General features: G+C 55.9%; 1 protein-coding gene and 1 non-coding gene across 4 annotated transcripts, besides 11 other annotated features; both read left to right on the top strand.

Annotated features, from left to right (window-relative positions):
* Positions 502-1,003: an enhancer, noted in NCBI's record as "H3K4me1 hESC enhancer chr19:45240385-45240886 (GRCh37/hg19 assembly coordinates)". NCBI's record gives its function as "activates a minimal SCP1, AML or CMV promoter by ChIP-STARR-seq in primed H9 embryonic stem cells {active_cell/tissue: H9 hESC(primed)}" and the evidence as "EXISTENCE:reporter gene assay evidence [ECO:0000049][PMID:30033119]".
* Positions 10,651-11,130: a silencer, noted in NCBI's record as "silent region_10735". NCBI's record gives its function as "represses an Ori minimal core promoter by ATAC-STARR-seq in GM12878 lymphoblastoid cells {active_cell/tissue: GM12878}" and the evidence as "EXISTENCE:reporter gene assay evidence [ECO:0000049][PMID:35858748]".
* On the top strand, positions 11,079-23,418 carry BCL3 (BCL3 transcription coactivator). 3 transcript variants are annotated; one of them, XM_011527198.4, is made up of 9 exons: positions 12,082-12,420; positions 14,601-14,754; positions 19,606-19,714; positions 20,391-20,595; positions 20,701-20,789; positions 21,020-21,097; positions 21,620-21,847; positions 22,098-22,215; positions 22,802-23,418. In XM_011527198.4, the coding sequence occupies exons 1-9, from the start codon at positions 12,165-12,167 to the stop codon at positions 22,987-22,989; spliced, it is 1,425 nt and encodes a 474-aa protein (XP_011525500.3). In that variant the 5' UTR covers positions 12,082-12,164; the 3' UTR covers positions 22,990-23,418. The 3 variants fall into 3 exon arrangements, with proteins under 3 accessions (XP_016882599.1, XP_011525500.3, NP_005169.2); NM_005178.5 differs by having other exon boundaries at positions 21,620-21,787; XM_017027110.2 differs by lacking the exons at positions 12,082-12,420; positions 22,098-22,215; positions 22,802-23,418 and adding an exon at positions 11,079-11,502 and having other exon boundaries at positions 21,620-22,091.
* Positions 11,191-11,320: a silencer, noted in NCBI's record as "silent region_10736". NCBI's record gives its function as "represses an Ori minimal core promoter by ATAC-STARR-seq in GM12878 lymphoblastoid cells {active_cell/tissue: GM12878}" and the evidence as "EXISTENCE:reporter gene assay evidence [ECO:0000049][PMID:35858748]".
* Positions 11,731-12,320: a silencer, noted in NCBI's record as "silent region_10737". NCBI's record gives its function as "represses an Ori minimal core promoter by ATAC-STARR-seq in GM12878 lymphoblastoid cells {active_cell/tissue: GM12878}" and the evidence as "EXISTENCE:reporter gene assay evidence [ECO:0000049][PMID:35858748]".
* Positions 16,808-16,877: an enhancer, noted in NCBI's record as "active region_14769". NCBI's record gives its function as "activates an Ori minimal core promoter by ATAC-STARR-seq in GM12878 lymphoblastoid cells {active_cell/tissue: GM12878}" and the evidence as "EXISTENCE:reporter gene assay evidence [ECO:0000049][PMID:35858748]".
* Positions 16,998-17,207: a silencer, noted in NCBI's record as "silent region_10738". NCBI's record gives its function as "represses an Ori minimal core promoter by ATAC-STARR-seq in GM12878 lymphoblastoid cells {active_cell/tissue: GM12878}" and the evidence as "EXISTENCE:reporter gene assay evidence [ECO:0000049][PMID:35858748]".
* Positions 17,288-17,367: a silencer, noted in NCBI's record as "silent region_10739". NCBI's record gives its function as "represses an Ori minimal core promoter by ATAC-STARR-seq in GM12878 lymphoblastoid cells {active_cell/tissue: GM12878}" and the evidence as "EXISTENCE:reporter gene assay evidence [ECO:0000049][PMID:35858748]".
* Positions 18,088-18,247: an enhancer, noted in NCBI's record as "active region_14770". NCBI's record gives its function as "activates an Ori minimal core promoter by ATAC-STARR-seq in GM12878 lymphoblastoid cells {active_cell/tissue: GM12878}" and the evidence as "EXISTENCE:reporter gene assay evidence [ECO:0000049][PMID:35858748]".
* Positions 18,401-19,111: an enhancer, noted in NCBI's record as "H3K4me1 hESC enhancer chr19:45258284-45258994 (GRCh37/hg19 assembly coordinates)". NCBI's record gives its function as "activates a minimal SCP1, AML or CMV promoter by ChIP-STARR-seq in naive H9 embryonic stem cells {active_cell/tissue: H9 hESC(naive)}" and the evidence as "EXISTENCE:reporter gene assay evidence [ECO:0000049][PMID:30033119]".
* Positions 20,013-20,664: an enhancer, noted in NCBI's record as "H3K27ac-H3K4me1 hESC enhancer chr19:45259896-45260547 (GRCh37/hg19 assembly coordinates)". NCBI's record gives its function as "activates a minimal SCP1, AML or CMV promoter by ChIP-STARR-seq in naive H9 embryonic stem cells {active_cell/tissue: H9 hESC(naive)}" and the evidence as "EXISTENCE:reporter gene assay evidence [ECO:0000049][PMID:30033119]".
* Positions 21,968-22,617: an enhancer, noted in NCBI's record as "H3K27ac-H3K4me1 hESC enhancer chr19:45261851-45262500 (GRCh37/hg19 assembly coordinates)". NCBI's record gives its function as "activates a minimal SCP1, AML or CMV promoter by ChIP-STARR-seq in primed H9 embryonic stem cells {active_cell/tissue: H9 hESC(primed)}" and the evidence as "EXISTENCE:reporter gene assay evidence [ECO:0000049][PMID:30033119]".
* MIR8085 (microRNA 8085) lies at positions 22,031-22,095 on the top strand. The gene has a single exon (NR_107052.1). It is a non-coding gene; the product is annotated as a microRNA 8085 (primary transcript).

The raw sequence follows: 24,149 nt of genomic DNA on the forward strand, positions 1-24,149 counted from the left end.
AGATTTCCTTTATTAAAAATTCAAAATCGTAGTAGTCGTAGGTAGCAAAAATATAAAGAAAAGCAAGAAAATTATACCATAAAAGACAAAATACAGGTCACCTTTCCAGGAGGGAGGGAGCTGTGAGGCATGAAGAGGCATGAAGGAGCTTCTGAGGAACTAGCAACACTATTTCTCTTTTTTTCTCTTTTTTTTTTTTTGAGACAGAGTCTTACTCTGTCACCCAGGCTCGCGTGCATTGGCGCAATAGCAATATTGCTCACTGCAACCTCCGCCTCCTCGGTTCAGCTATTCTCCCAGCCTCCAGAGTGTCTGGGACCACAAGGCGTGCACCACCATGCCCCACTAATTTTTGTATTTTTAGTAGAGATGGGGTTTTGCCATGTTGCCCAGGCTGCTCTCGAACTCCTAACCTCAGGTGATCCGCCCCCTCGGCCTTCCAGTGCTAGGATTACAGGCATGAGCCACCGCGCCTGGCCCAGCAACACTTTCTTAACCTAACTGTTTCCTTTACAAAAGTCTCTGAAACAGAACAATATATTTTAATTGTACGCAATTCTCCCCATGTTATATTTCATAATTTTCAGGGATTTTTTTTTAATCCCACGATTCCAAATCTCTGTTCCTCAAATGACGTGGCTCTCCAGGGGGCGGTGGGCAAAAGTTCTGAGCCCTGGCATGGAGCCCTGGCACAGAGACCTGGTGCACGGTGCACCAGGAACCCACAGGAGAATTTGGGATCTGAAACAGCAAATACAATTTGATTTTCCCAGAAGTGAGCAAATGTGCTGTGACTCTGTGTGACCACAGTGGGCTGAAGTGACAAGTTCAAGGGTAGGTGATGTTCAGAGTAGAGGCCACAAGCCAGCGCCTCCCCGCCCCCACCCCACCTCCTGCAGAGCGTGACGCCAGTAAGAGTGGTCATCTATTTCTCTTCCCACCAGCCACCCCAGAGCCTGGCTCTCCCTGGGAGGAGATGCAACCTCAACAATCCTGGGCCAGTCCCATTCTTTTTGGATGTGGAAATTGAGCCTGCCCAGGATTGCTTGGCTGAGAGGCTGCCGTGTTGGGATTTGCTCCTGACTTGCAACCACCTGACTCCACAGGGATGAGGCAGTAGAGACAGCCCTGCCCCATCCTCAGTATCCTGGGAATGTGTTGGAGGGTATGGGTGGCCCCGACTGGGACACTGGGATGACGGTTGGAAACAAGGGAGGTGAGTGTGCCATGTCCCGGCTCAAATGAGGAAGGGCCCAGTGTGACCTCGGCTTTCCCAGGAGCCTGAGGGACTTTTGCATCTGTATTTTTAAATGCTGGTGGCCACAGGGCAGGTTGTGGCCTTGAGTAGGGGAGGCACCGACTTCCAGGGAAAAGGCTGGAGTTTCAGGAAAGGGACTGTCCCTCCTGGATAGGCACCATGCTCCACCCTGCCAGGGTGGGCTTGAGAAGAGGGGCTTCTAATTCAATGGGAGGGCTCCTACTTAGGGAGTGGCTAGGCTGATAGGGGTGGCATGATTTCCCCCAACTCAAGTCAAGAAGGAACCACTAATCTGATGGAGGAGGCACATACCAGCTCCCTCCTGGGGAAATTTATATTTCCTAGTCTAATTTGATGGACAAAACTTAATTTTACTCGGACAGCACTCCTAGTCCCAAGAAGGATTCAAGATTTACAGCGTAGTGAGCTCTAGTCTGATGGAGGAGGCAGGACCCAAACCCACCCACAGGGAGGTTTCCTATGAGGGTGGAGGCATGCCTGTTATCTTCAGGAAGCTCTAGTCTAGTCTGACATTCATCCAAATGTCTTCTGGGGAGGAGGGGCAAAATTGCTCCCCTCAATTGAGAATCTAGACAGAGGAGGGAGTCATGCTGCCCCACCCCATTTTTTTTTCCTTTTAGATCTAGTCCTGAACCCAGATGCCCCATGCATCTTCACGGAACCGATGGGAGAAGCAAAATCCACTTTTAGAGATATCTAATCTGTGAAGAAGTCACACTTTCATTCTCAGGGAGATTCTGATCTGATGGAGGAGGAAGAATGCAATTCAAACCCTCAAGGAACTCTTACACTGATGGGAAACATGTCCCCACCTTGGGGGCCTCCAAGTCTGATGGCAGAGGTCTTCCTCCCATCCTTGGGAAGCTCTAGTCCAATGAGGGAGGCACTCCCCCACCATGTCAGTGCCTTCCTTCCCGTACCTTCTCCCTGCCCTCTGGCTGCCCGAATGAGCAGGGCAGGGGGCTTCCCCTCCCCACCTCCCTGGTGAATCCTAGAATCAGGGAACTTCTGCAGGAGGACACCACGGTTCCCCAGCCCTGGGACTTCCCTTTCTCCGTCAGCCCAAACCCAGGGCCTCACTGGGGGGGCCAGACATGCCTGCCCTGCTGATCATGGCTCACCTATCACCCCAGCCCCCATGACATCACCTGGTTATTGCATGTCCACAGCATCCCAGGCTCCGCGGGGACTTTCCATGCTTGACCTCGCCAGTGCCCTACCCTGAGAGGGAGGAGTCTGTCCCCACTTTACAAACAAAGCTTAGAGGGCATGGCACTCTTGCCAGAGACCACACAGCCAGAAACTGGCAGAGTGGGGAACAGACCAAGTGGGTCTGACTCCAGAGCCCCAGCTCCTTAGGAATGAGGATGAGGATGATGTACGTATACAGTCCTCATTTTCTGCCAGGCAATCCTGCCAAGGGCTATATTGCTGACTCACTAGCTCTTCTCGGCCATGGTGTTATTATTCTCATTGTCATTATTCTGTAACTCAGACAGGGAAACTGAGGCCCAAAGAGATAGATGAGTATGTAGCAGAGCCAATACTCAGTCAGGTTGTCTGACTCCAGTGCCATCATCACAGCTCAGCTCCCCCAGAAGACAGATGATTATACGGAATTGGGCATGCGAAAGATTTATGGACCAGCCTGGGAAACGTAGCAAAATCCCATTTCTGCAGAAATTTTCGAAATTAGCCAGGCATGGCTTGGTGCGGTGGCTCACGCCTGTAATCCCAGCACTTTGGGAGGCTGAGGCTGGCAGATCACCTGAGGTCAGGAGTTTGAGACCAGCCTGACCAACATCGAGAAACCCCGTCTCTACTAAAAATACAAAATTAGCCAGGCGTGGTGGCACATGCCTGTAATCCCAGCTACTCGGGAGGCTGAGGCAGGAGAATCGCTTGAACCCAGGAAGCAGAGGTTGCGGTGAGCTGAGATCCCGCCATTGCACTCCAGCCTGGGCAACAAGAGCGAAACTCCGTCTCAAAAAACAAAAAGAAAAAGAAATTAGCCAGGCATGATGACACACACTTATAGTCCCAGCTACTCAGGAGGCCGAGGTGGGAGGATCACGCCTGTGGTCCTAGCTACTCAGGAGGCTGAGGTGGGAGAATCGCTTGAGCCCAGGAGGCTAAGACTGCAATGAGCTATGATCGCACCACTGCACCTCAGCCTCAGCCTGGGCAACAGAGTGAGACCCTGTCTCTTACATACATATATATCTCTTAAATACACACACACACACACACACACACACACATATCTTAAATATATATATGTGTGTATATATATACATACGTGTGTGTGTATATATATACACACACATATACATATATATACACATATATACGTATATGTGTGTGTATATATATGTGTGTGTGTATATATATGTGTGTGTGTGTTGTGTGTGTGTGTATCTATCTATATATATATATATGCAGGGCACAGCACCTCAGAAAGGAAAGGAGGAAGCAAGAGGAGTGAGCAAGGGGGACTGTCAAGTTGTAATGCCCCCCCTACAGGAAGGCTCTTGCATTAGAGAAGTCCCACCCTGGTCAGAAATGGCTAGCACCTCTGAACCCCACCTGTCATTGGCTGGAGACTGCCCAGGAGACCATGCCCCAGCCGGTAAGCTGAAGCAGACCTCAAAGGAGTCAACTGCCAATGTCAGAGGCTGTCTGCTCTCTCTGCATGCCTGGCAGCAAGATCAAAAGTCCGTTTTTTTTGTTTGTTTTGTTTTGTTTTTTTAAATTTCTGAGACAGGGTCTCACTCTGTTACCCAGGGTGGAGTGCAGTGGCATGATCATAGCTCACTGCAGCCTCAGCCCCCCAGGCTCAGGCAATCCTCCCGCCTCAGCCTCCCAAGTAGCTGGGACCACAGGCTCACCACCACCATGCCAGGCTAATTTTTATATTTTTTTGTAGAGGCCAGGCATGGTGGCTTATGCCTGTAATACCAGCACTTTGGGGGGCTGAGGCAGGAGGATCACTTAAGGTCAGGAGTTTGAGACCAGCCTGGCCAACATGGCGAAACCCCATCTCTACTAAAAATACAAAAATTATCCAGGATTGGTGGCATATGCCTGTAGTCCCAGCCACTTGGGAGGCTGAGGCAGGAGAACCACTTGAACCCAGGAGGCAGGGGTTGCTGCACCACTGCACTCCAGCCTGGGTAACAAAGTGAAACTTTGTCTCAAAAAAAAAAAATTTGCTGGGCATGGTAGTATGTGCCTGTAGTCCCAGCTACTTGGGAGGCTGAGCCAGGAGAATCTCTTGAGTCTGGGAGGCGGAGGTTGCAGTGAGCCGAGATCACACCACTGCACTCCAGCCTGGGCAACAGAACAAGACTCTGTCTCAAAAAAAAAAAAAATGTACTTTTTTGTAGAGACGGGGTCTTGTTCTGTTGCCCAGGCTGGTCTCGAACTCCTGGGCCCAGGTGATTCTCCCATCCTGGCCTCCCAAAGCACTGGGATTAGAGGGATGTGCCGCCACACCCAGCCAACAGGTTTTTTCTTGAAGGGGGATGTGAGCTGCCTGTCTCTGTGGCTGCCACTCCCATACCTATATGAATAATAACAATCATTTTAAAATAATATCTTCCATTTACTGAGACTTTCCTCTGTGCCAGGCCTGTGCTGACGTGTGTGAATTCATTTGACTCTCACAACACCGCCGGAAGACATGCACTGTTTTTACCCTCATTTTATAGATGAGGAAACTGGGGCTCAGAGAGGGTAAATAAATCACCTGCCCAGGGTCACACAGCTGGTAAGTGACAGAACTGGGATTGGAACCCAAACAATTAGACAGGGCCCCATTCACAGATGAGGACACTAGCCCACTAGTACCTGATTGTCTACTGTCACCTCGCTGAGACCACTGTGACCTTCCTTCCTATGCCCCGCCTTCCCAGACCCCCATCCACCCACCCAGGGCAGATGCTGATCTCCACACTCCCCCCACCGAATCACCCCTCTCTGATCAAGGCAGCTGGCAGGGGCGGCGGAGAGGGTGGGGGGACGAGGGTGTCCAGTCTCCCTGGCCTGCCAAGAGAGGATGTCGCAATCCTCTGACTCAGCGTCGTGCGTGCAGACCCAGCAAGAGGCAGAAAGGGGAAGATTAAGTCTTGGCTTAGGCCCCAGATGGGCTGATTCTGCTCAATGCCAGGAGCTCCCAGAGCTGCCAAGGCTCCAGGGTGGGGAGGAACCAGGAGGTGCAGGCCATGCTCCAGGAAGCTGGCCCGCATTCACCCGTGGGGGTGGGGCAGAGCAGCCTCAGGGAGCGGAGCCGTGTGGACTTCCAGCCCAGGGCCCAGACTGGAGGCAGCCTGACCTTGGGCATGTCCCTTCCCATCCAGGCCCAGAGTCTCTGTATCCTTCTGTCTGCGGAATTCACTTGCTCTCCCTGAACCTCTCTGGAGGCTCTAGTGGTTGTTCCTCCTCAAGGGACTCTTAAGTCTAACTCTATTTTTTTTTCTTTTTTGTTTGAGACAGGGTCTTGCTCTGCCACCCAGGCTGGAGCGCAGTGGCACGATCTCAGCCCACTGCAACCTCGGCCTCCTGGGTTCAAGCGATTCTCCTGCCTCAGCCTCCCGTGTAGCTGGCATTACAGGCGCCCACCACCACGCCCGGCTAAGTTTTGTATTTTTAGTAGAGACGGGGTTTCGCCTTGTTGGCCAGGCTGGTCTTGAATTCCTGACCTCAGATGACCCTCCAGTCTCAGCCTCTCAAAGTGCTGGGATTACAGGCGTGAGTCACCATGCCCGGCCCCTTAAGTCTAACTCTATTCCCTCCTGCTGCAATGCCATCCTCTCTCCACGCACGGACCCTCCCCATACCAGGAGGCAGCAGAGAAGAGTTCCAGGGTGCGAATCTCCATGGGTGTCCTCGGACATATGACTTTCCCTCTCCATGCCTCAGTTTCCCCATCTAAACCATTTCTTCCCAGGGAGAAGGGGCCTAGAATCAAGCTGGAAGGGCACACCTGCAGTCTCCGAGACTCATGGCCACTTCTCCCAGGTCAGAAGCGTGCTGGGGTCACAGGGACCTGGCTTGAAATCTCAGCTCTCCCCAGTTCCTCACCGTGTGACCCGGGCAGTGAGTTCACTTCTCTGTGCCTGTTTCCTCCTCTATAAAATTGGGTTTTTAGCTGAATTTTCCTTACAAGGTGTTAAGAGGATTAAGTGGGCCAATTCTTAGTTGCAACTCAGCCCGGAGTGAATGTTTCTGTCTTGTCTCCTCTGTGAGTAGAAAAGGGTGAGAAGGAGGCCCTGGTCTGCTGGATAGGGTAAGGGTTAAGGCCAGCAGCGTGGAGACAGAAATGAACATTATTCATTCATTTATTCCACACACTTTTCTTATTTAATCTGCTCAGTAAGCCTGTGAAACAGGATCTGTTATCATCCTGTTATTATTATTATTACCATTATTTTGAGACAGAGTCTCACTCTGTCACCCAGGCTGGAGTTCAGTGGCATGATCATAGCTCACTGCAGCCTTACACCTAAAGCAATCCTCCCACCTTACCCTCCCAAGTAGCTAGGACTACAGGTGCCTCCTGAGCCCAGCTAATTTTTAAAAATTTTGTGTAAGCCTGGTGTGGTGGCTCACACCTGTAATCCCAGCACTTTGGGAGGCCGAGGCAGGCGGATCACAAAGCCAGGAGTTCGAGACCAGTCCAGCCAATATGGTGAAACCTCGTCTCTACTAAAAATACAAAAATTAGCTGGGCATGGTGGCACGGGCCTGTAGTCCCAGCTACTCAGGAAGCTAAGGCAGAAGAATCGCTTGAACCCAGGAGGTGGAGGTTGCAGTGAGCCGAGATTGCGCCATTGCACTCCAGCTGGGTCAACAAGACGGAAACTCTGTCTCAAAAAAAAAAAAATCTGTAGAGACAGGGTGTCCCCTTGTTGCCCAGACTGGTCTTGAACTCCTGGTTTCAAGGGATTCTTCCTTCTACCTTGGCCTCCCAAAGTGCTGGGACTACAGGAGCACACTCCATGCCCGGCCCCATTCGCCACTATTAAAGTCACAAGGGGCTGGGCATGGTGGTTTATACCTGTAATCTCAGCATTTTGGGAGGCCAAGGCAGGTGGATCACTTGAGGTCAGGAGGTTGAGAACAGCTTGGCCAACATGGTGAAACCCAGTCTCCACTAAACATACAAAAATTAGCCGGGCATGGTGGCGGACGCCTGTAATCCCAGCTACTTGGGAAGCTGAGGCAGGAGAATTGCTTGAACCAGGGATTGGAGATTGCAGTGAGCCGAGATCATGGCACTGCACTCCAGCCTGAGCGACAGAGCGAGACTCCATCTCAAAAAATAAAAATTAAAAAATAATAAAGTCACAAGGAAGGCACAGAGAGGGAAAGCCACCTGCCTAAGGTCACATAACTAGCACATGGACGAGCCAGGGCTCAAAACTATGTCTCTAAGCCCAGCATGTTGAATTCTATTTTCCCCAATGAAGCAGGTCCTGCTATTGAAAACACAGGATATTTGATGAGGACAATAATAATATATAATGTTATATTATTATTATTATTATTATTATTATTATTATTATTATAAAACTAATAGCAGCTAAATTGCATCAAGAGCCTTCTATACATCAGACCCCATGGGACAGAGTCATATTTTCTTGATGTGATCCACTCTACAGATGAGGAAGCTGAGGCTCCACGAGGTTAAGTAACTGCCCGGAAGTCACAAAGCTAACGATCAGGAGACAGGACTTGGACCCAGGCCTCAATTCAAAACAAAGTAGGACAAGGAAGCCAGATGCGGTGGCTCACGCCTGTAATCCCAGCACTTTGGGAGACCGAGGAGGGAGGTTCGCTTGAGCCCAGGAGTTCGAGAACACCCTGGGCAACACAGTGAGACCCCCTGAGTCTACAAATTGTTTTTTTTATTAGCCAGTCATTGCGGCACATGCCTGTAGTCCCACCTACTTGGGAGGTTGAGGCAGGAGGATCATTTGAGTCCAGGAGTTCAAGGCTACAGTGAGCTATGATCTCACCACTGCACTTCAGCCTGGGAGACAGAGCCAGATCTTGTCTCAAAAAAAAAGCAGGACAAGACCCAGTAATTGAGCCAGATGGGAACTTAGGCCCTGACCAGCCCTACTCTCTCCTCTTAGAAAGGGAAATTGAGGCCCCTGAGAGCAAGAAAGCTGCCTCAAGCCTACAGACTTCCAGATGGAATTTCGTTTCCCTCTCAGGACTTTGAGCAGGTAAATTCCTGGCCTTTCCTCCCCCAGGATGGGTTGGGGAAAAAGAAACAGCAGCTGGGGAGGAGATCTGAACAGGTACAAAGGGCGGCCTGCATGAGGGGAAAGTGGTTAGACACCAAGCAGAACTTCCTGGCCTCCTCTGGGAAGTTTCTAAGACTCATCCAGGGGCTGCCCCTGCGGGTGGGGGCCCTCCAGAGGCCAAGGCCCAGAGAAAGGAGACCCTAGTCCTTTCCGCCTGGGGTGCAAGGAGCCGGGGGAGGGTGGGGGTGGCCATCCTGGTTCCGCATCCTCCGTTCCCGACATTGGAGGGAGGCTGCTGTGGGAGCTGGGACTTTCCTGAGAGCAGAAGATTCTGGGAAATTAGAGACAGCTGCAGGGCGGGGCTGCCTCCCAGCCTCCCTTCCCTTCCCTCCCCTTGGTCCCTGCTGGCTCCGGAGGCACGCCTCTCCACCCCTCCACCCCACCAGCTCCTCCTCCCCTAGTCCATGCCTTCCACCCTCGGACCCTCAGATCTTTTCCCCTGAGCCTCTTTCTTCTCCCTCAGATCTGGCCTCTACCCTCAGACTCTCTCCAAATCTTCTTTCCTCAGACCCTTCTTTCCCCTCCAACTCTCTCCTCCTCCCTCAGAGCTGCGTCCCCTCACTTAGTGCTTCTCAGACTTCCTCAGACTGTGCCCTCTCCCTCAGATACTCTCCCCTCCCCTCAGACCCTCACCTCCTCACTCAGACCCTCACTTCCTCCTTCAGACCCTCACCTCCTCCCTCAGACCCTTACCTCCTCCTTCAAACCCTCACCTATTCTCTCAAACCCTCACCTCCTTCCTCAGATGCTTATCTCCTCCTTCAGACCCTCACCTCCTCCCTCAGACCCCCACCTCCTCCTTCAGAGCCTCACCTCCTCTCAGACCCTCACCTCCTCCCTCCAAACCTCACCTCCACCTTCAGACCCTTACCTCCTCCTTTAGACCCTCACCTCCTCTCTCAAACCCTCACCTCCTTCCTCACATGCTTATCTCCTCCTTCAGACTCTCACCTCCTCCCTCAGACCCCCACCTCCTTCAGACCCTCGTCTCCTCTCTCAGACCCTCACCTCCTCCCTTAGCCCCTCATCTCCTCCCCCCGAACCTCACCTCCACCTTCAGACCCTCACCTCCTCCTTCAGACCCTCACCTCCTCTCTCAAACCCTCGCCTCCTTCCTCAGACTCTTATCTCCTCCTTCAGACCCTTGTCTCCTCCCTCAGACCTTCACCTCCTCCCTCCAAACCTCGCCTCCACCCTCAGACCCTTATTTCCTCCATCAGACCCTTACCTCCTCCAACAGACCCTGTCCTCCTCCTTCAGATCCTCTCCCCCTCCTCCCACTAAACCATCTACTTCTCTCTCAGACCTATCTTCCTTCTTCAGATCCTCCTCCTTCTGACCCTTTTATCCCTCTTCCAACCTCAGAGAACCATCAGCACCCTCTCTTCCAGCAGCACCGTCTCTCCCAGCCCTTCGAAGCTCCCACCGGACCCATCACATCTTCTCCCCTCTACAGTCCTGCTAGGTTGGAACCACTGCACCAGCTGCCCTGGGATGCCAGGAGTGGGACAGGCTTGGGTGTCCTTCCCACCCTACCTCTGAGGGTCCCCACCCTAAGCCTCGCCCCTCCAAACCTCAGCTTTCCTTTCTGTGCATTGGGATAGTGCTCCACACCCCTCTCCTGTGTCTGAGGGTCCCCAGGGGTGGGGTTGGATGGGCAGGGAACACAGCCCCCAGCCTGTCCAACCGAATTCCTCCCCTCTTCCCTTGCTGTGGCCCCCACAACACCAGCAGGCAGGGGTTGCCATTGGTCCCATTTTCCAGAAGAACAAACTGAGTCTCAAGGCAGGGGATGGCTTGTCTGAGGTCCCACCGGGAGCAAGGGGTGGAGGTGGAATTAACACAGGTCTGTGCTCGGGATGTTTCGCCATGAAGGGGGATAAGGGAGATCCAGAGAGAGGTCGAAAGGAAGGGAAGGGGTGAGGCCTCTCCACACAGCCACTTCTCACATCCTGGGTTAACGATCCACTCGGGTGGGGCCCGAGTCCGGCCAAAGTCCCTTCCCGGGGCCCCAATACCCACTTTCAAGGTCCCAGGGGACACAGAGACAGCAACAGAGATGGGGAGACAGAGACAGAGGGCGGGGCAGGAGACAACCAGAGGGAGGTCAGGCAAGTTTCGAAGACAGAAGGAGACCGGGGGAGAGAACCAGAGAGACGCCGCGTGCCCCCTGGGCAAGTCCGGGGTGCAGCCCCCATGCCCCGCCCCCTGTGTCCCCAAAGCCTCCCTCTCCGCCTCCTGTGACTCAGTGACCCGGACTCAACCCCAGCGGCTGCCCCGCCCCCAGGGAAATCCGGGAAAGCCCCGGACCTTCGGGGCCCCACCCCGGGGCGGGGAGAGGGAGAGGAGGGGAGGAGACGGGGAAGAGTCCCGCCTCCCTCCTCCCTCCCTCCCATCTCCAGCCTGAGTCATGCCCCCAACCCGCCTAGCCTGTTCCCCACCCATCAACCCCTCCTCGAGGTGGGAGGGGAAGTCGGGGGGAAGCCAAACTGCTCCCCGCTCCTGCAGCACCGGCCTCGGTCGCGCTGACTCTGGCCTGGTGTCCGTGTCTCTTGCTATCTCTCTTTCTCTCAAGATCTCTGCGCCTGTCTCCATGTCTCTTTCTCTCTGTGCACCTAGGATTTTCCGAGCACCCACCCCGGTGCCCCGCGGGCCCCGGCTGGGGGCAGGGCCCCCAACGAGTGCAGAGACACAATCAGTGGAGCGCTCCCCACCCTCACCCCACCCCCAGCCCCTTTAGACCCACAGCTGATGAGGCACGTGGAGTGGCAGAGATGGAAGAGGGGAGGGAGAGGAATCGTTCCTGGCCGCCTGCCGAGTGCCAGTCCCTGCCCCGGGTGCGTCTCTTCACTCCCACTAAGGAGGAAACGGCTCAGAGAGGGGAAGTGTTTGGCCAAGGTCACCCAGCGAGTAAGTGGGAACCGAGATTCCAAACCCCGTCCCAGAGATGCCAAGGCCTCCTGAGAGACAGAGAAGCAGACAGCAACTGAGAGGCAGAGAGATGGTGACAGACACAAAGAGACAAAAGAGAGAGACAGAGACGGAACAGAGCACACAGAGACAAACGCGGGGTTGCGGAGAGAAACACCTACTCAGACAGGAGAACCAGAGAGACAGTTACAGACTCAGAGATAGAGATGTTGAGAGATAGGGCCAGAAAGACAAAAACAGAGGCAGAGAGAGCGGCCCTTGGCAGCAGGGGTGGGGACACCCCCCCACCCCCCGACCCCGCCTCCTCTCCCCCCACCCCTCCTTTCCTCTCCCTCCCCCGCCGAGGCCTGGCTGCCCCAGGCGCCGCGGGCCGGGAGGGGGCAAGCGGGGCGCGGCGCGGGCGGGGCGCAGGGCAGGCTGCACCTCAGAGCGGCGGGAGCAGCGGCGGGTCCAGGAAACCCCTGGGGCGTACGGGTGGCCCCGGGGGGGCCGGGGGCGGGGAGGCGGGCGGCCGGCACCGCCCCGGCCGACAAAAGTCCCTTCAGTTCAGCCGGCTGCAGGGGAAGTCCCGGCGCCCGGCGAAACCACCCTCCCGTGCAGCCGAGCCCAGCCGCTCTCCGGCCGCCGTCCCCGGCGGCCCCATGCCCCGATGCCCCGCGGGGGCCATGGACGAGGGGCCCGTGGACCTGCGCACCCGGCCCAAGGCCGCCGGACTCCCGGGCGCCGCGCTGCCGCTCCGCAAGCGCCCGCTGCGCGCGCCCTCCCCGGAGCCCGCCGCTCCCCGCGGCGCTGCGGGCCTTGTCGTCCCCCTGGACCCTCTGCGCGGCGGCTGCGACCTGCCGGCGGTCCCCGGGCCCCCCCACGGCCTGGCCCGGCCGGAGGCGCTTTACTACCCCGGTGAGTGGCCCCCGAGGGTCCGGGCCGGGTGGGATCCACACAGAGCATAGGGTCACCAGAGCCAGGAGGCAGAGCTTGAGGCACAAACCGGTGTCTCTCCAGGGACCTGGGGGACAAGAGGATATAAGCCCAGGTTCCAAGGATATAGATATGAGATCATCGGGGAGCCAGTAAGCTGTGCCTTGGGATCTGGGGATTTGGGGACCCTGGGGGGCAAAGCCCAGGGGCTGAGTGACGTGGGGGGGGGGGGGCCAGGGACAATGCCCAGTGGTACAAATATGGGGGTGTCAGGGAATCAGGGCACAGAGCCTGGTATCCTAGGGGCAAGAAAGTACAAGCTCTTAAGCCAGATGTGTAGCGTTATGAGGAAGCTGAGCTGGGCTGGAGAAACTGGGGTTCCCTGTATCCTGATATTATTAGAATCAAAGGGAGTCAGGGTAACAGAGACTGGGGTTCTAAGGAGACAGATACTGAGGATCTCAGGATGTCACAATCTCAGGAACCAAGATATCTGGAGACATGGGCATTATGAAAACAGAGATGGGGTTCTGAGCACCCCAATATCTGGGATCACAAGGATCCAAGGAAATGAACCAGAGCTCCAGGGACCCAGATACCAGGGGGTCTTGAGGACCCAGGAGAACAGAGACCCGGGTTTCTGGGTACTCAGTTATGTGGGGCCACAAGTGATCAGGGTCCTATTTGAGGTCAAGATCAGGTGGGCAGAAGGGATCAGGGGACTGAGGATCCTAAGATTGGGTAATTCTGAGACTTTGGGTAATTTAGAGGCAGGATGAAAATTTCAGGGGTCTCCAGACAGAAAGCCTCAAGGCCTCAAGGCCTGGTATTGGAGATACGAGGACCTGGAAACTTGGGAGTTCAAGAACAGAGGGCCCACAAGGATCAGCAGATGACGAAGACCACACACTCTTCTCTCCATCCTATCTCCATCCCTGATCTCAAGAAGGGGTGTCCTCTACCACAGCTGTGGCCACGTCACCATCCCCAATTGACCCCCAAAGCTGCAGAGAGCCGTTCTACAGAGCCCCAAAACTTTAGGTAGTTTCTGCACCCTCCACCCCATCAGCGTGACAGCTGGAGAGCCTCAAGCTATGTGCATCAGGAGTTCTGCCACGGCCTCCCAGCTTTCCTATTCCAAGAGTGAGAAAGCAGGCCTCAGTTTTCCCCGTCTGTGTGATGGGTTGGTATGGATTTGCCTGCTGCCATGGTCCCCTCGCCTTTGTTTGTTTTTGTTTTTGTTTTTTGAGACAGAGTTTTGTTTTGCTCTGTCGCCCAGGCTGGAGTGCATTGGCGTGATCTCGGCTCACTGCAACCTCCGCCTCCCAAGTTCAGGGGATTCTTGTGCCTCAGCCTCCCGAGTAGCTGGGATTACAGGCATGCACCACCACACCTGGCTAATTTTTGTATTTTTAGTAGAGACAGGGTTTCACCATGTTGCCCAGACTGGTATTGAACTCCTGACCTCAGGTGATCCGCCCGCCTCGGCCTCCCAAAGTATTGGTATTAGAGGCATGAGCCACAGCGCCCGGCCTGCCGTGGCCCCTTTTTAAACAGTTTGATCTAAAATTACCCATGCGTGGTGGTCAGCATCTGTAATCCCAGCTACCTGGGAGGTTGAGGCAGGAGAATCGCTTGAACCTGGGAGGCAGAGGTTGCAGTGGGGCAAGATCGTGCCACTGCACTCCAGTCTGGGCAACAGAGCGAGACTACATCTCAAAAACAATTTGAACAGGCTTCTGGTAACACCTCCTCTCTGCCTCCACTCTCCCCAAACCCACTCTACATTTATCCCACACCCTGCACCCAGCAATTCATCAGCCACAAAATCACTCTGCAGACAGTCCCTGGGGTCCCCTGCTAGGTGATGATGGGTGCACCCTCTGTTCTTAAGGGACCCTTTGTCTGATTGGAGATTGAGGTCAGAAGATAAGTGACAATGAGGGTGACCAGCCCTAGAGGGAGAGGAAGCTGCCAGAGCCCAGAGGAGGGACGTGGAAGGGGGTTTGTTTTAGGCCCTGAGGACCCTGTATGGGATGCAAAAGGGACCCAGGAGAAAGGGCAGGTGACACCACAGGAGCAAAGTTTTAGAAGTGGGGGGCGGGTTGAGGGTCTGTGGGTGTGGCCTCACCCATGTCCCTTCTCTGTCCTCCATTGTCCAGGAGCCTTACTGCCTTTGTACCCCACTCGGGCCATGGGCTCCCCGTTTCCTCTGGTGAACCTGCCTACACCCCTATACCCCATGATGTGCCCCATGGAACACCCCCTTTCTGCTGACATCGCCATGGCCACCCGTGCAGATGAGGACGGAGACACGTGAGTGACAGTCCCCTATTAAGGGGAGGGGTGGTTGGGAAGACCAGCCGTCCATAACACAGGGCCACTCAGCTCCCAGTGGACCTGAGTCAGAACTCGGTCTCCACCACAGGCTGTGTGACCTTGAGTAAGGCCCTTCCCTGCTCTGAGCCTCAGTTTCCTCCTCTGAAGAATGGGCACCTTGAGAGCATTTACCTCCTAGGCCACTATTTTTGTTTGGTTTTTGTTTTTGTTTTTTTGAGACAGGGTCTCACTCTGTCGCCCAGGCTGGAGTGCAGTGGCACGATCTCAGCTCACTGCAACCTCTGCCCCCCAAGTTCAAGTGAGTCTCATGCCACAGCCTCCCGAGTAGCTGAGACTACAGGTGCCCACTGCCAAGCCTGGCTAATTTTTGTATTTTTTGGTAGAGACAGGGTTTCACCATGTTGGCCAGGTTGGTCTCAAACTCCTGACCTCAAGTGATCCACTCGCCTTGGCCTCCCAAAGTGCTGGGATTACAGGCATGAGCCCCAAGCCCACCCCTAGAACACTATTTTTGGAACGGTGGTCTTTAGATATTTTGTCACAACCTAAAAACAAGAAAGACAGTTCATTGATTAACTTACTATATGAATTATACATGTAAAACTATCACTGGACCTGGCATAAATGTTGAGTAAGTGTTTGTTAATATTACTATTATTTTATCTCAAACCCAGCACACACACACACACACACACACACACACACAAACTTGAAATTAAAATTGCACAAAATGAAACAATACTCGCCCTTACTATGTGGGTTCTACTGTGACATTTTCTTTTTTTCTTTTTTTCTTTTTCTTTTTTTTTTTTCTGAGACAGGGTCTCGATCTGTCACCCAGGCTGGAGTGCAGTGGTGCAATCATAGCTCACTGCAGCCTTGATCTCTTGGGCTCAAATGATCCTCCCACCTCAGCCTCCTGAGTAGCTGGGACCACAGACGCTACCCCCACACCTGGCTAATTTTTGTATTTTTTTTTTGTAGAAACACAGCAGTCTTGCTATGTTGCCCAGACTGGTCTCAAACTCCTGGGCTTAAGTGATCCTCCCACCTCAGCCTCCCAAAGTGCTGAGATTACAGATGTGAGCCACCGAGCCCAGCTTACAGCTTTACTTTGCCATTTTCTATTCTAGTCGACTTCATTGTTTCATGGTCACAGCCCACTACATTAATTTGAAGATCCCCTAAATTGATTTCACAACCCCCATGGTTTATCACCTGCAGTCTGAAGAACATGTTTGTGAGGCTGCTGAGAAGTCCTGCACGGGAGGGTTTGGTCTGTGCCTAGCACATAGTAAGCACTCACTGCAATTGATCATCATGATTCTTATTATTCTATTGACCTGGGTTGGAATCTCAGCGTGGCCACGTTCTACTCCCTCTGTGCCTCAGTTTCCCTCTCTGTAAAAACAGGAACCATCGCGTGTGAGGGTCTCTGGGAGGAAGAAATGACATGATTTATACAAAGCACTTCTGTGAGAATTAGTTTGGGGCCTGGAAACCACAGGTAGAGATGAACAGGCCTGTTTCTGCAGAGAAGTAGCAGAGGGCTGCTCCGCCACTGGCCCACTGAGTGATTTCATGTCCCTGAGTCTCAGTTTCCCTATTTGGAAACTGGGTCTCATAATAGCACCTATCACAATTAGGATTCAGTGAGATCTTGTACACATGTATTAATACAGTGCACAGAACAGGGCTGGGCAAACAGTAAGTGCTCAATGCATGGAAATGGGTAATGTTTGAGCAGAGCTCCCAGGGTGGTTGCAGGCCATCTCCAGAGCCCTAGCAGGAGAAAGTGGCCTAGATTATAAAGAGCTAATAAAACCTAGTTCCCTCCCCTTCTGGGTACCTCTGGGGGGTCATCTATGAAATGGGCTTAATCAGACAGTCTCTGCCCCCAGTGGTGAGCTGTCCATGCTGTTGAAAAGCAGGGTGCTTGCCAGAGGCCACCCGGCCCACCAGTCTCCAGCCCCAGGCCCTCCCCACACCCTCCCTCTCCGACTCTCCCCCAAGGCAAACACTTCTGCCTCAGCTGCCTGCTGGGGGAAATCCCTTCCCGCAGAACTTGACCGCAACCCAGCTGCTCTGCCTCCCCCACGTCAGCACCCGTCACTCACTCGCAGCCTCCCCCCTCCTGGCGCTTCCTCCAACCTTAACCCCTTCCGCTGGGGCTGAGACTTTACCGGAACGGGCAGCGGCCCGGCCCCAGCCTGCGCCACCGGCTCCTCTTCACACCCGCGGGGGAGGGCAGTGGGGGCGAGGAGGGCGGGGGACGCTAAGTCTGGGTCCCCGCAGAAGCCAAAAGGTTGGGAGGCTGGGCTTCCATCTCCTCACAGGCGGGTACGAGCCTTGGGGCATTTGGACCCCCAAGAGGTTAGGGACTGGGCAGCCAGAAACCTGGGGAGGGGGCAGGAAGGCGGGGGCGGGGGGGGGGGGTGATGTTCTGATTCTCAGAAGGCAGAAGTTGGGGAACTGTATTCCTTAATCTCCGAGGGGATGAGGAGCAGCTTGGCAGCTTGGGGACCTGGCACTCAGAGGGGCTTTACGGGCAGGACCAGATACAGAAATTTGCAGAGTCCCTTGTTCAAAACTTAAGAATTTCACGACAGCGGCAGCAGGACGTTGGGCTGGTGAAACTGGTCACGCCAAGGGGCCTGAAAGTCTGTGTTCCCAAAGGGCCAGGGTTTGAGGCGCTGTATTTCTGGGTCTCTGAGGGGACAAGGACTGGCAAGGTAGTTTGGGATCCTGGAGCTCTGAAGGACGGGGGAAGTCCTTATTCTTAAAGAAGAGTTAGGGCTATTTCTGGCTCCCAAGAGATGTTGGGGGTGGATGCCGGGATAAGGAGGACTTGCAGCCAGCTGGAGCCTGAGCTCTGCGGGGTGGAGTTCCAGAGGGTCCCCCAGGCGGGAGGACTCGGGATTATGCGCCCCCCCTACACACACACACCTCAAGGGAGCTAGGTCTTCTTGGGCTGGGCACTCCCTTCCCCCGCCCCATTCGAGGATGGAAGTTGGGGTGCCAGGGGTGGCCAGGGTAGATCCCCGGCGGGACAGGCTTCCCTCCCCCGGGAGCAGGAAGCAGAGCCCCGCCCAGCAGACCTGTTACTGGAAGTCCGAGGGCTGGGTCGCCCCTCCCGTCCCCACTTCCTCCAGCCCCGCCCCACCCCCTGCGGCCCGCGCGTTTATGGGAACTCAGGCCTGGACGGTTTCTCTGAAATCATTCGCTGCGTCTGCCCTCACTTAACCCTGGCCGCCCCGAGAGGGACCCAGGCCAGGCGTCCTGGGAGATGCAGAGAAGGGGGGACCCTTCCCAGGGACCCCGGCCCCTCCCTCAACATTTTATTTTTAAATTTGGCTTTCACGGATTAGGAGTCAGGTTCAGCGATTCACCTGCGTGATCTCACCCTGGCATGTGGACGCTGTACTTTACATAAGAGAAAACTGAGGCTCCGAAAGGCCCCCATGGCTTTGCCCTAGCACGCGGCTACGCTAGGAGGGGTTGTGGCCCAATTTGCAACTCTGGCCCCGGGATTTCTGCACTCCATCAGAACCACCTGGGAGGCTAGTTTAAACTGGATTCTAGAGACACATTCCACAAGAGAAACGGGTGCTGGTGAGAAAGGAATTACTTAGTAAACTTTAAATAAAGATCCTGCCACCCACTGTGTACACGCAGTCCTCCTTGGGTCCTCCACTCTGTCCCCCACCCCATGCAAACAGCACAGGCGTGCACAAGCACGCACGCATGCACACACACCAGTCTCTGAATAGCTGTTCTAGGTTGGGGTCTCTGGAAACTGAGCAGGAAGTTTATTGGAAATGCTCTCCATCAACACCTGTGGGATGAAGGAAGCCCATCTGGGCAGAGGGAGAAGTTGAGCTGCTGTGTCGCCTCCACACGGCCTCAGCTGTCCCACAGGGAATATTGAAGCTGGAATGGCCTTCAGCATTGGGGTCAGGAGGCTAGGCCTTCTATGCTGGCATTAACCAGTGACTGGATGCCATTGAAGGGCAGCTGCCCTTGATTCACATGGGGCGTGACCTTGGACAAGCAGCTCTCTTGAGTTGAGGGTAATTCCCAAATGGTCTGAAAGCTGACAATCTTCCCAGAAGCTGAGGGAGTGAGTCCTTCAGTCTAGAAGGGGGTTCTGGACTGTACCGCCTCCAGAACAATGGCCCCATCCCAGTTTGTCCTCACCTCCCTTTTAGTCAAAACTTTTGTTCCAGACTGGGCGTGGTGGCTCACGCCTGTAATCCCAGCACTTTGGGAGGCTGAGGCTGAGGCAGGAGGATCACTTGAACCCAGCAGTTAGAGACCAGCCTGGCCAACATGGTGAAACCATGTCTCTACTAAAAATACAAAAGTTAGCTGGGCGCGATGGCACACATCTGTAATCCCAGCTACTCAGGAGGCTGAGGTTGGATGATCGCTTGAACCTGGGAGGCAGAGATTGCAGTGAGCACAAGATAGCACCACTGCACTCCAGCCTGGGCGATAGAACAACACTCCGTCTCAAACAAATAAAATAAAATAAAATAAAAGGGTCCCTCTGGCTGTTGTGTGGGGGACAGACAGTAGAGCATAGGTGGAAGCAGAGAAGCCATGAGGATGGAACTGTACTAGACCAGCAGGGAGCCAGTGGTGGCTAAAGCAGGATGGAGGGAGCGGGTGGTAAATCAGGATGGAGGGAGTGGGTGGGGAGAAGTGTTTGAATACTGGGGACATTTCCAAAGTATTCAACACATTGGAGTTAGCATTGCCAACAGCATGAGGGTGAGAGGTGAACAACCCCTAATGCCTGTGATTCCTTCACTCCCCCACCCCCAGGCCTCTCCATATTGCTGTGGTGCAGGGTAACCTGCCAGCTGTGCACCGGCTGGTCAACCTCTTCCAGCAGGGGGGCCGGGAGCTCGACATCTACAACAACCTACGGCAGGTGAGGCTCGGTCTGAGGGAGGAGGGCTGGGGCCTGGACTCCTGGGTCTGACAGAGGAGGGGCTGGGGGCCTGAACTCCTGGGTCTGAGGGAGGGGGGCTGGGGCCTGGACCCCTGGGTCTGAGGGAGGAGGGACTGGTGCCTGGACTCCTGGGTCTGATGGAGGAGGGCTGCGGGCCTGGGATCCGGGGTCTGATGGAGGAGGGCTGGGTCCTGGGCTCCTGAGTCTGAGGGAGGAGGGCTGGGGATCTGGACTCCTGGGTCTGAGGGAGGAGGGCTGGGGGTCTGGACTCCTGGGTCTGAGGGAGGAGGGCTGGGGTCTGGACTCTAAGTAGCGAGGTGCTCCAGGCTCCTGGTTCCTGGGGAAGAAGGGCTCTGGGGCCTCGGACTGGTTGTTCCTGAGAGGGAGGGGGCCTAAAGACCTCCTAGTGAGGAGGGAGGGGGCTGGGGACCCAGAATTCAGGTACTAGGGAAAGAGGAGGTTGGAGGCCCAGTCTTCTGGGTCCTGGGGAAGGAGGAGCATGGGGCCCGGACTCTTGAATCTGAGACAGGAGGTGTCTCAGGTTTCTGTTCCTGGGGAAGACTGCAGGATGAGGAATAAGGGTTCAGAAAACCTGGGGGAGGCAGGACTAGAGAGCAGGGCTGGACACAGGTCCCTCACAGTCACTGTTCCCCAGACACCGCTCCACCTGGCTGTGATCACCACATTACCGTCTGTGGTCCGGCTCCTGGTGACAGCTGGTGCCAGCCCCATGGCGCTGGACCGCCATGGCCAGACGGCCGCTCACCTGGCGTGCGAGCACCGCAGCCCGACCTGCCTGCGAGCCCTGCTGGACAGCGCAGCTCCGGGCACGTTGGACCTGGAGGCCCGCAATTATGACGGTAAGCATTTACCGCGGGGCACCGCTGGGCTGTCCAGCGGACCTGGAGTCCATCAGCGGCCGCAAAGCCCGGGCCTAGGTTTCACCGAGCCCTCCTCTCCCTCAGGGCTCACCGCCCTGCACGTGGCAGTGAACACCGAGTGCCAAGAAACCGTGCAGCTCTTGCTAGAGCGCGGTGCCGACATCGACGCAGTGGTGAGCGTGCACTAGGAGCTGGGAGGGAGCGGGGCCTTAGCAGGGGCGGGGTCTTGGCGGGGGCGGGGCCAGTGTGGGGCTGGCGTGGGAGAGCACCCGGGTGGGGTGGGGCTTGGAGTATCAGACCCAAGAGAGAGGCTGGACCCCGCGAATGGGATGTGGACGGGATGCGGGTCGCCGGCTGCTGGAGCAGAGCTTGGAGAAACTAAGACCTTCCCTCCCCGCCGCAGGACATTAAGAGCGGCCGCTCCCCGCTCATCCACGCCGTGGAAAACAACAGCCTTAGCATGGTGCAGCTGCTGCTGCAGGTGCGTACAGCCCCCCTGAGCCTCGCGCCCACCCTATCCTCTGACCCCAACCCGGCTCTGGCCTCAGCCCCTAGCTCTGACCCCGCCTTCCACTTCTGGCTCCGGCTCCTGCTCCGCGTCCAGCTCTGATCCTTTAAGGCCTAGTTTTCTCGACCCTCGGGCTCCACGCCCCTGGCTACGAACTTGTCCCATTCCTCCTCTGCCACCTCAACGGCCTAGGCCCCGCCCTGCGATGGCCTGGCTGACCCCGCCTTCCAGCTAGGCCCTGTCCACGCATTGTCCTTCCCCCCTCCAGCTCCCCCGACTCCTTGGGGCGCGGGCCTCGGTGTCCAGCTCCGGTTAATTCATCGCCGCCAACGCAGTCCCGCTTGGCCTGCCCTTGGCTCTCGCTCCTACCTTCCTGTGACCCCACCCCGATCCGGTGCCGCCCCACGTGCCGGCCACCCACCCGGGCCTCCAGCCTCTGTTCCCTTACCCCGGGTGGCCCGCGCGCCCTCCTGACCCGGCCCTCCCGTCCCGCAGCACGGCGCCAACGTGAACGCGCAAATGTACTCCGGCAGCTCCGCCCTGCACTCAGCGTCCGGCCGCGGGCTCCTCCCGCTGGTGCGCACGCTGGTCCGCAGCGGCGCTGACAGCAGCCTCAAGAACTGCCACAACGACACGCCGCTCATGGTGGCGCGCAGCCGCAGGGTGAGCCGGGGCAGCTGTGGACATGCCCCTTGCACACGTGTGTCCGCGGGCTGGTTGCAGGCGAGTGTGCCAGAGCGCAGAGGAGTGAGGGTGTCTGTGCCGTTGCGTGGAGGGGAGTGGGTGAGCCTCTGAAAGCGCGGGTGTGAGTTCCAGAAATGAGGAGAGACTGGCACCAAGAAAAAAAGTGCCTTGCCCATCTTTTCATACTGAGAAGTGGAGAGGCCACCACCTGGATCCAGTGAGCTAGGAGGGATGGGAGAGAGGACTGTGAGGCATGGGTGGCTCTATGGTCACGCCCATCTTCCTACAGGTCATCGACATCCTGAGGGGGAAGGCCACCCGGCCTGCTTCCACCTCCCAGCCAGACCCCTCCCCTGACCGGAGCGCCAACACCTCCCCCGAGAGCAGCAGCCGCCTCAGCTCCAATGGTGAGAAACCGTTCCCAACCTCCAGCCCTGGCGCCTCCTCCCTCAGACCCAGGAATCCCAACCCACAGCCCCTCCTCCCTCAGATCCAGGAGTCCAGGCCCCTAGCCTCCTCCCTCTGACCCAGGAATCCCAACCCATAGCCCCTCCTCCCTCAGACCCCTGGCCCCTCCTCCCTCAGACCCCAGCCCCTCCTCCTTCAGACCCCCCAGCCCCTCCTCCCTCAGACCTCAGCCCCTCCTCCCTCATACCCCCAGCCCCTCTTATCTCAAACCTCAGCCCCTCCTCCCTCAGACCCAGGAGTCCAGATTTCCAGACCCTCCTCCCTCAGACCTCAGCCCCTCCTCCCTCACACCCCCAGCCCCTCCTCCTTCTGACCCCCGGCCCCTCTTCCTTCAGACCCAGGAGTCTAGGTCCCCAGATGCCTCTTTCCTCAGACCCGGGAGTTTAAATCCCCAGCCCCTCCTCCCTCAGACCCGAGTCCAGACCCCCAGCCCCTCCTCCCTCAGACCCAGATCTCAGGCCCCAGCCCCTGCTCTCTGGGTCTAGCCTCTCACCACCCACCCCTCTGTCTCTCTTCCTTCCTCAGGTCTTCTCTCCGCATCACCATCCTCCTCACCCTCCCAGTCTCCCCCCAGGGACCCCCCTGGATTCCCCATGGCTCCTCCCAATTTCTTCCTTCCTTCCCCATCTCCACCCGCCTTCCTGCCCTTTGCTGGGGTCCTCCGAGGCCCTGGCCGGCCGGTGCCCCCCTCCCCAGCTCCAGGAGGCAGCTGAGGGGGATGGGGGGGCAGATCTTGGACTCATGAGGAGGGGCCCCCCTGCCCTGTGGGGTCAACCCTTCTGGAAACTGTGAAGATCTCACTCTGCCCCCCCCCCCCATCTTCGGGACCAGGATTTGCACAGAAGCACATGCACCTACCCATACACCCCCTCTTCTGAGCACAGATGTTCCCCCATCTCGCTCCCTCCCAGGACTCTGACCCCAGCATTCTCAGGCACCAGTCCCTGTCCGGAATGCCACCCACATCTTCCATTTCCATGTCCCCTCCCAGAGCTGGTGGACCCAGGGAACAGCCACTCCCCTCCACTCTCTACCAGATAACTGAGGAGGGGAGAGGTGGGCCGTAACGGGCACGGATCACGATGTAAATTATTAAGCATTTTGGTTGGATTTCTTTTGTAATAAACTATTTTTGTACCATATCCCTTGGGTGCATGGGCCTCTTTCATGAGATGGACCTGGCGGAAGTGCCTTCGTGTGTGTGCACACCCGTGCACTGAATCCAGTTGACTCCCAGAGTGATGTTGTGAGTCTCAGACAGACAATCTCCTGTGTGTCACTCTGGGACTTCTGGTGTGTTTGGTTGTGAATGTTGCCATCATTGTCACTGTACCATTGTTTCTAAGGAGGACGTGGTGTGTGATATCTTTTTTTTTTTTTTTTCAAGACAGAGTCTTGCTCTGTCGCCCAAGCTGGAGTGCAGTGGCACGATCTCGGCTCACTGCAACCTCCGCCTCCCCGGTTCAAGCGATTCTCCTGCCTCAGCCTCCCGAGTAGCTGGGATTACAGGTGTGCACCACCACACCTGGCTAATTTTTGTAATTTTAGTAGAGACGGGGTTTCACCATGTTGGTCAGGCTGGTCTTGAACTCCTGACCTCATGATCCTCCTGTGTCGGCCTCCCAAAGTGCTGGGATTACAGGCATGAGCCACTGCACCTGGCCGGTGTGTGATATCTTTCCAGGGCACCCTGTTGGATTCCGTAGTGACCCTGGGCATGTGTGTTTCTGTAGTGTGGGGGTCCTGGTGATAACCCACAGCTGACTTCAGCCCCAATCGTCTCTGGCTGTCCGAGTGCGTGGTGCTTGGGAGTGTTCCTAACATTGAGATCTGGGGTGATGCTGTGATTGTTGCCCTGTGACTGCCTCACATG

This window comes from Homo sapiens, chromosome 19 (assembly GCF_000001405.40).
Source record: "Homo sapiens chromosome 19, GRCh38.p14 Primary Assembly".
NCBI classification, from domain to species: domain Eukaryota; kingdom Metazoa; phylum Chordata; class Mammalia; order Primates; family Hominidae; genus Homo; species Homo sapiens.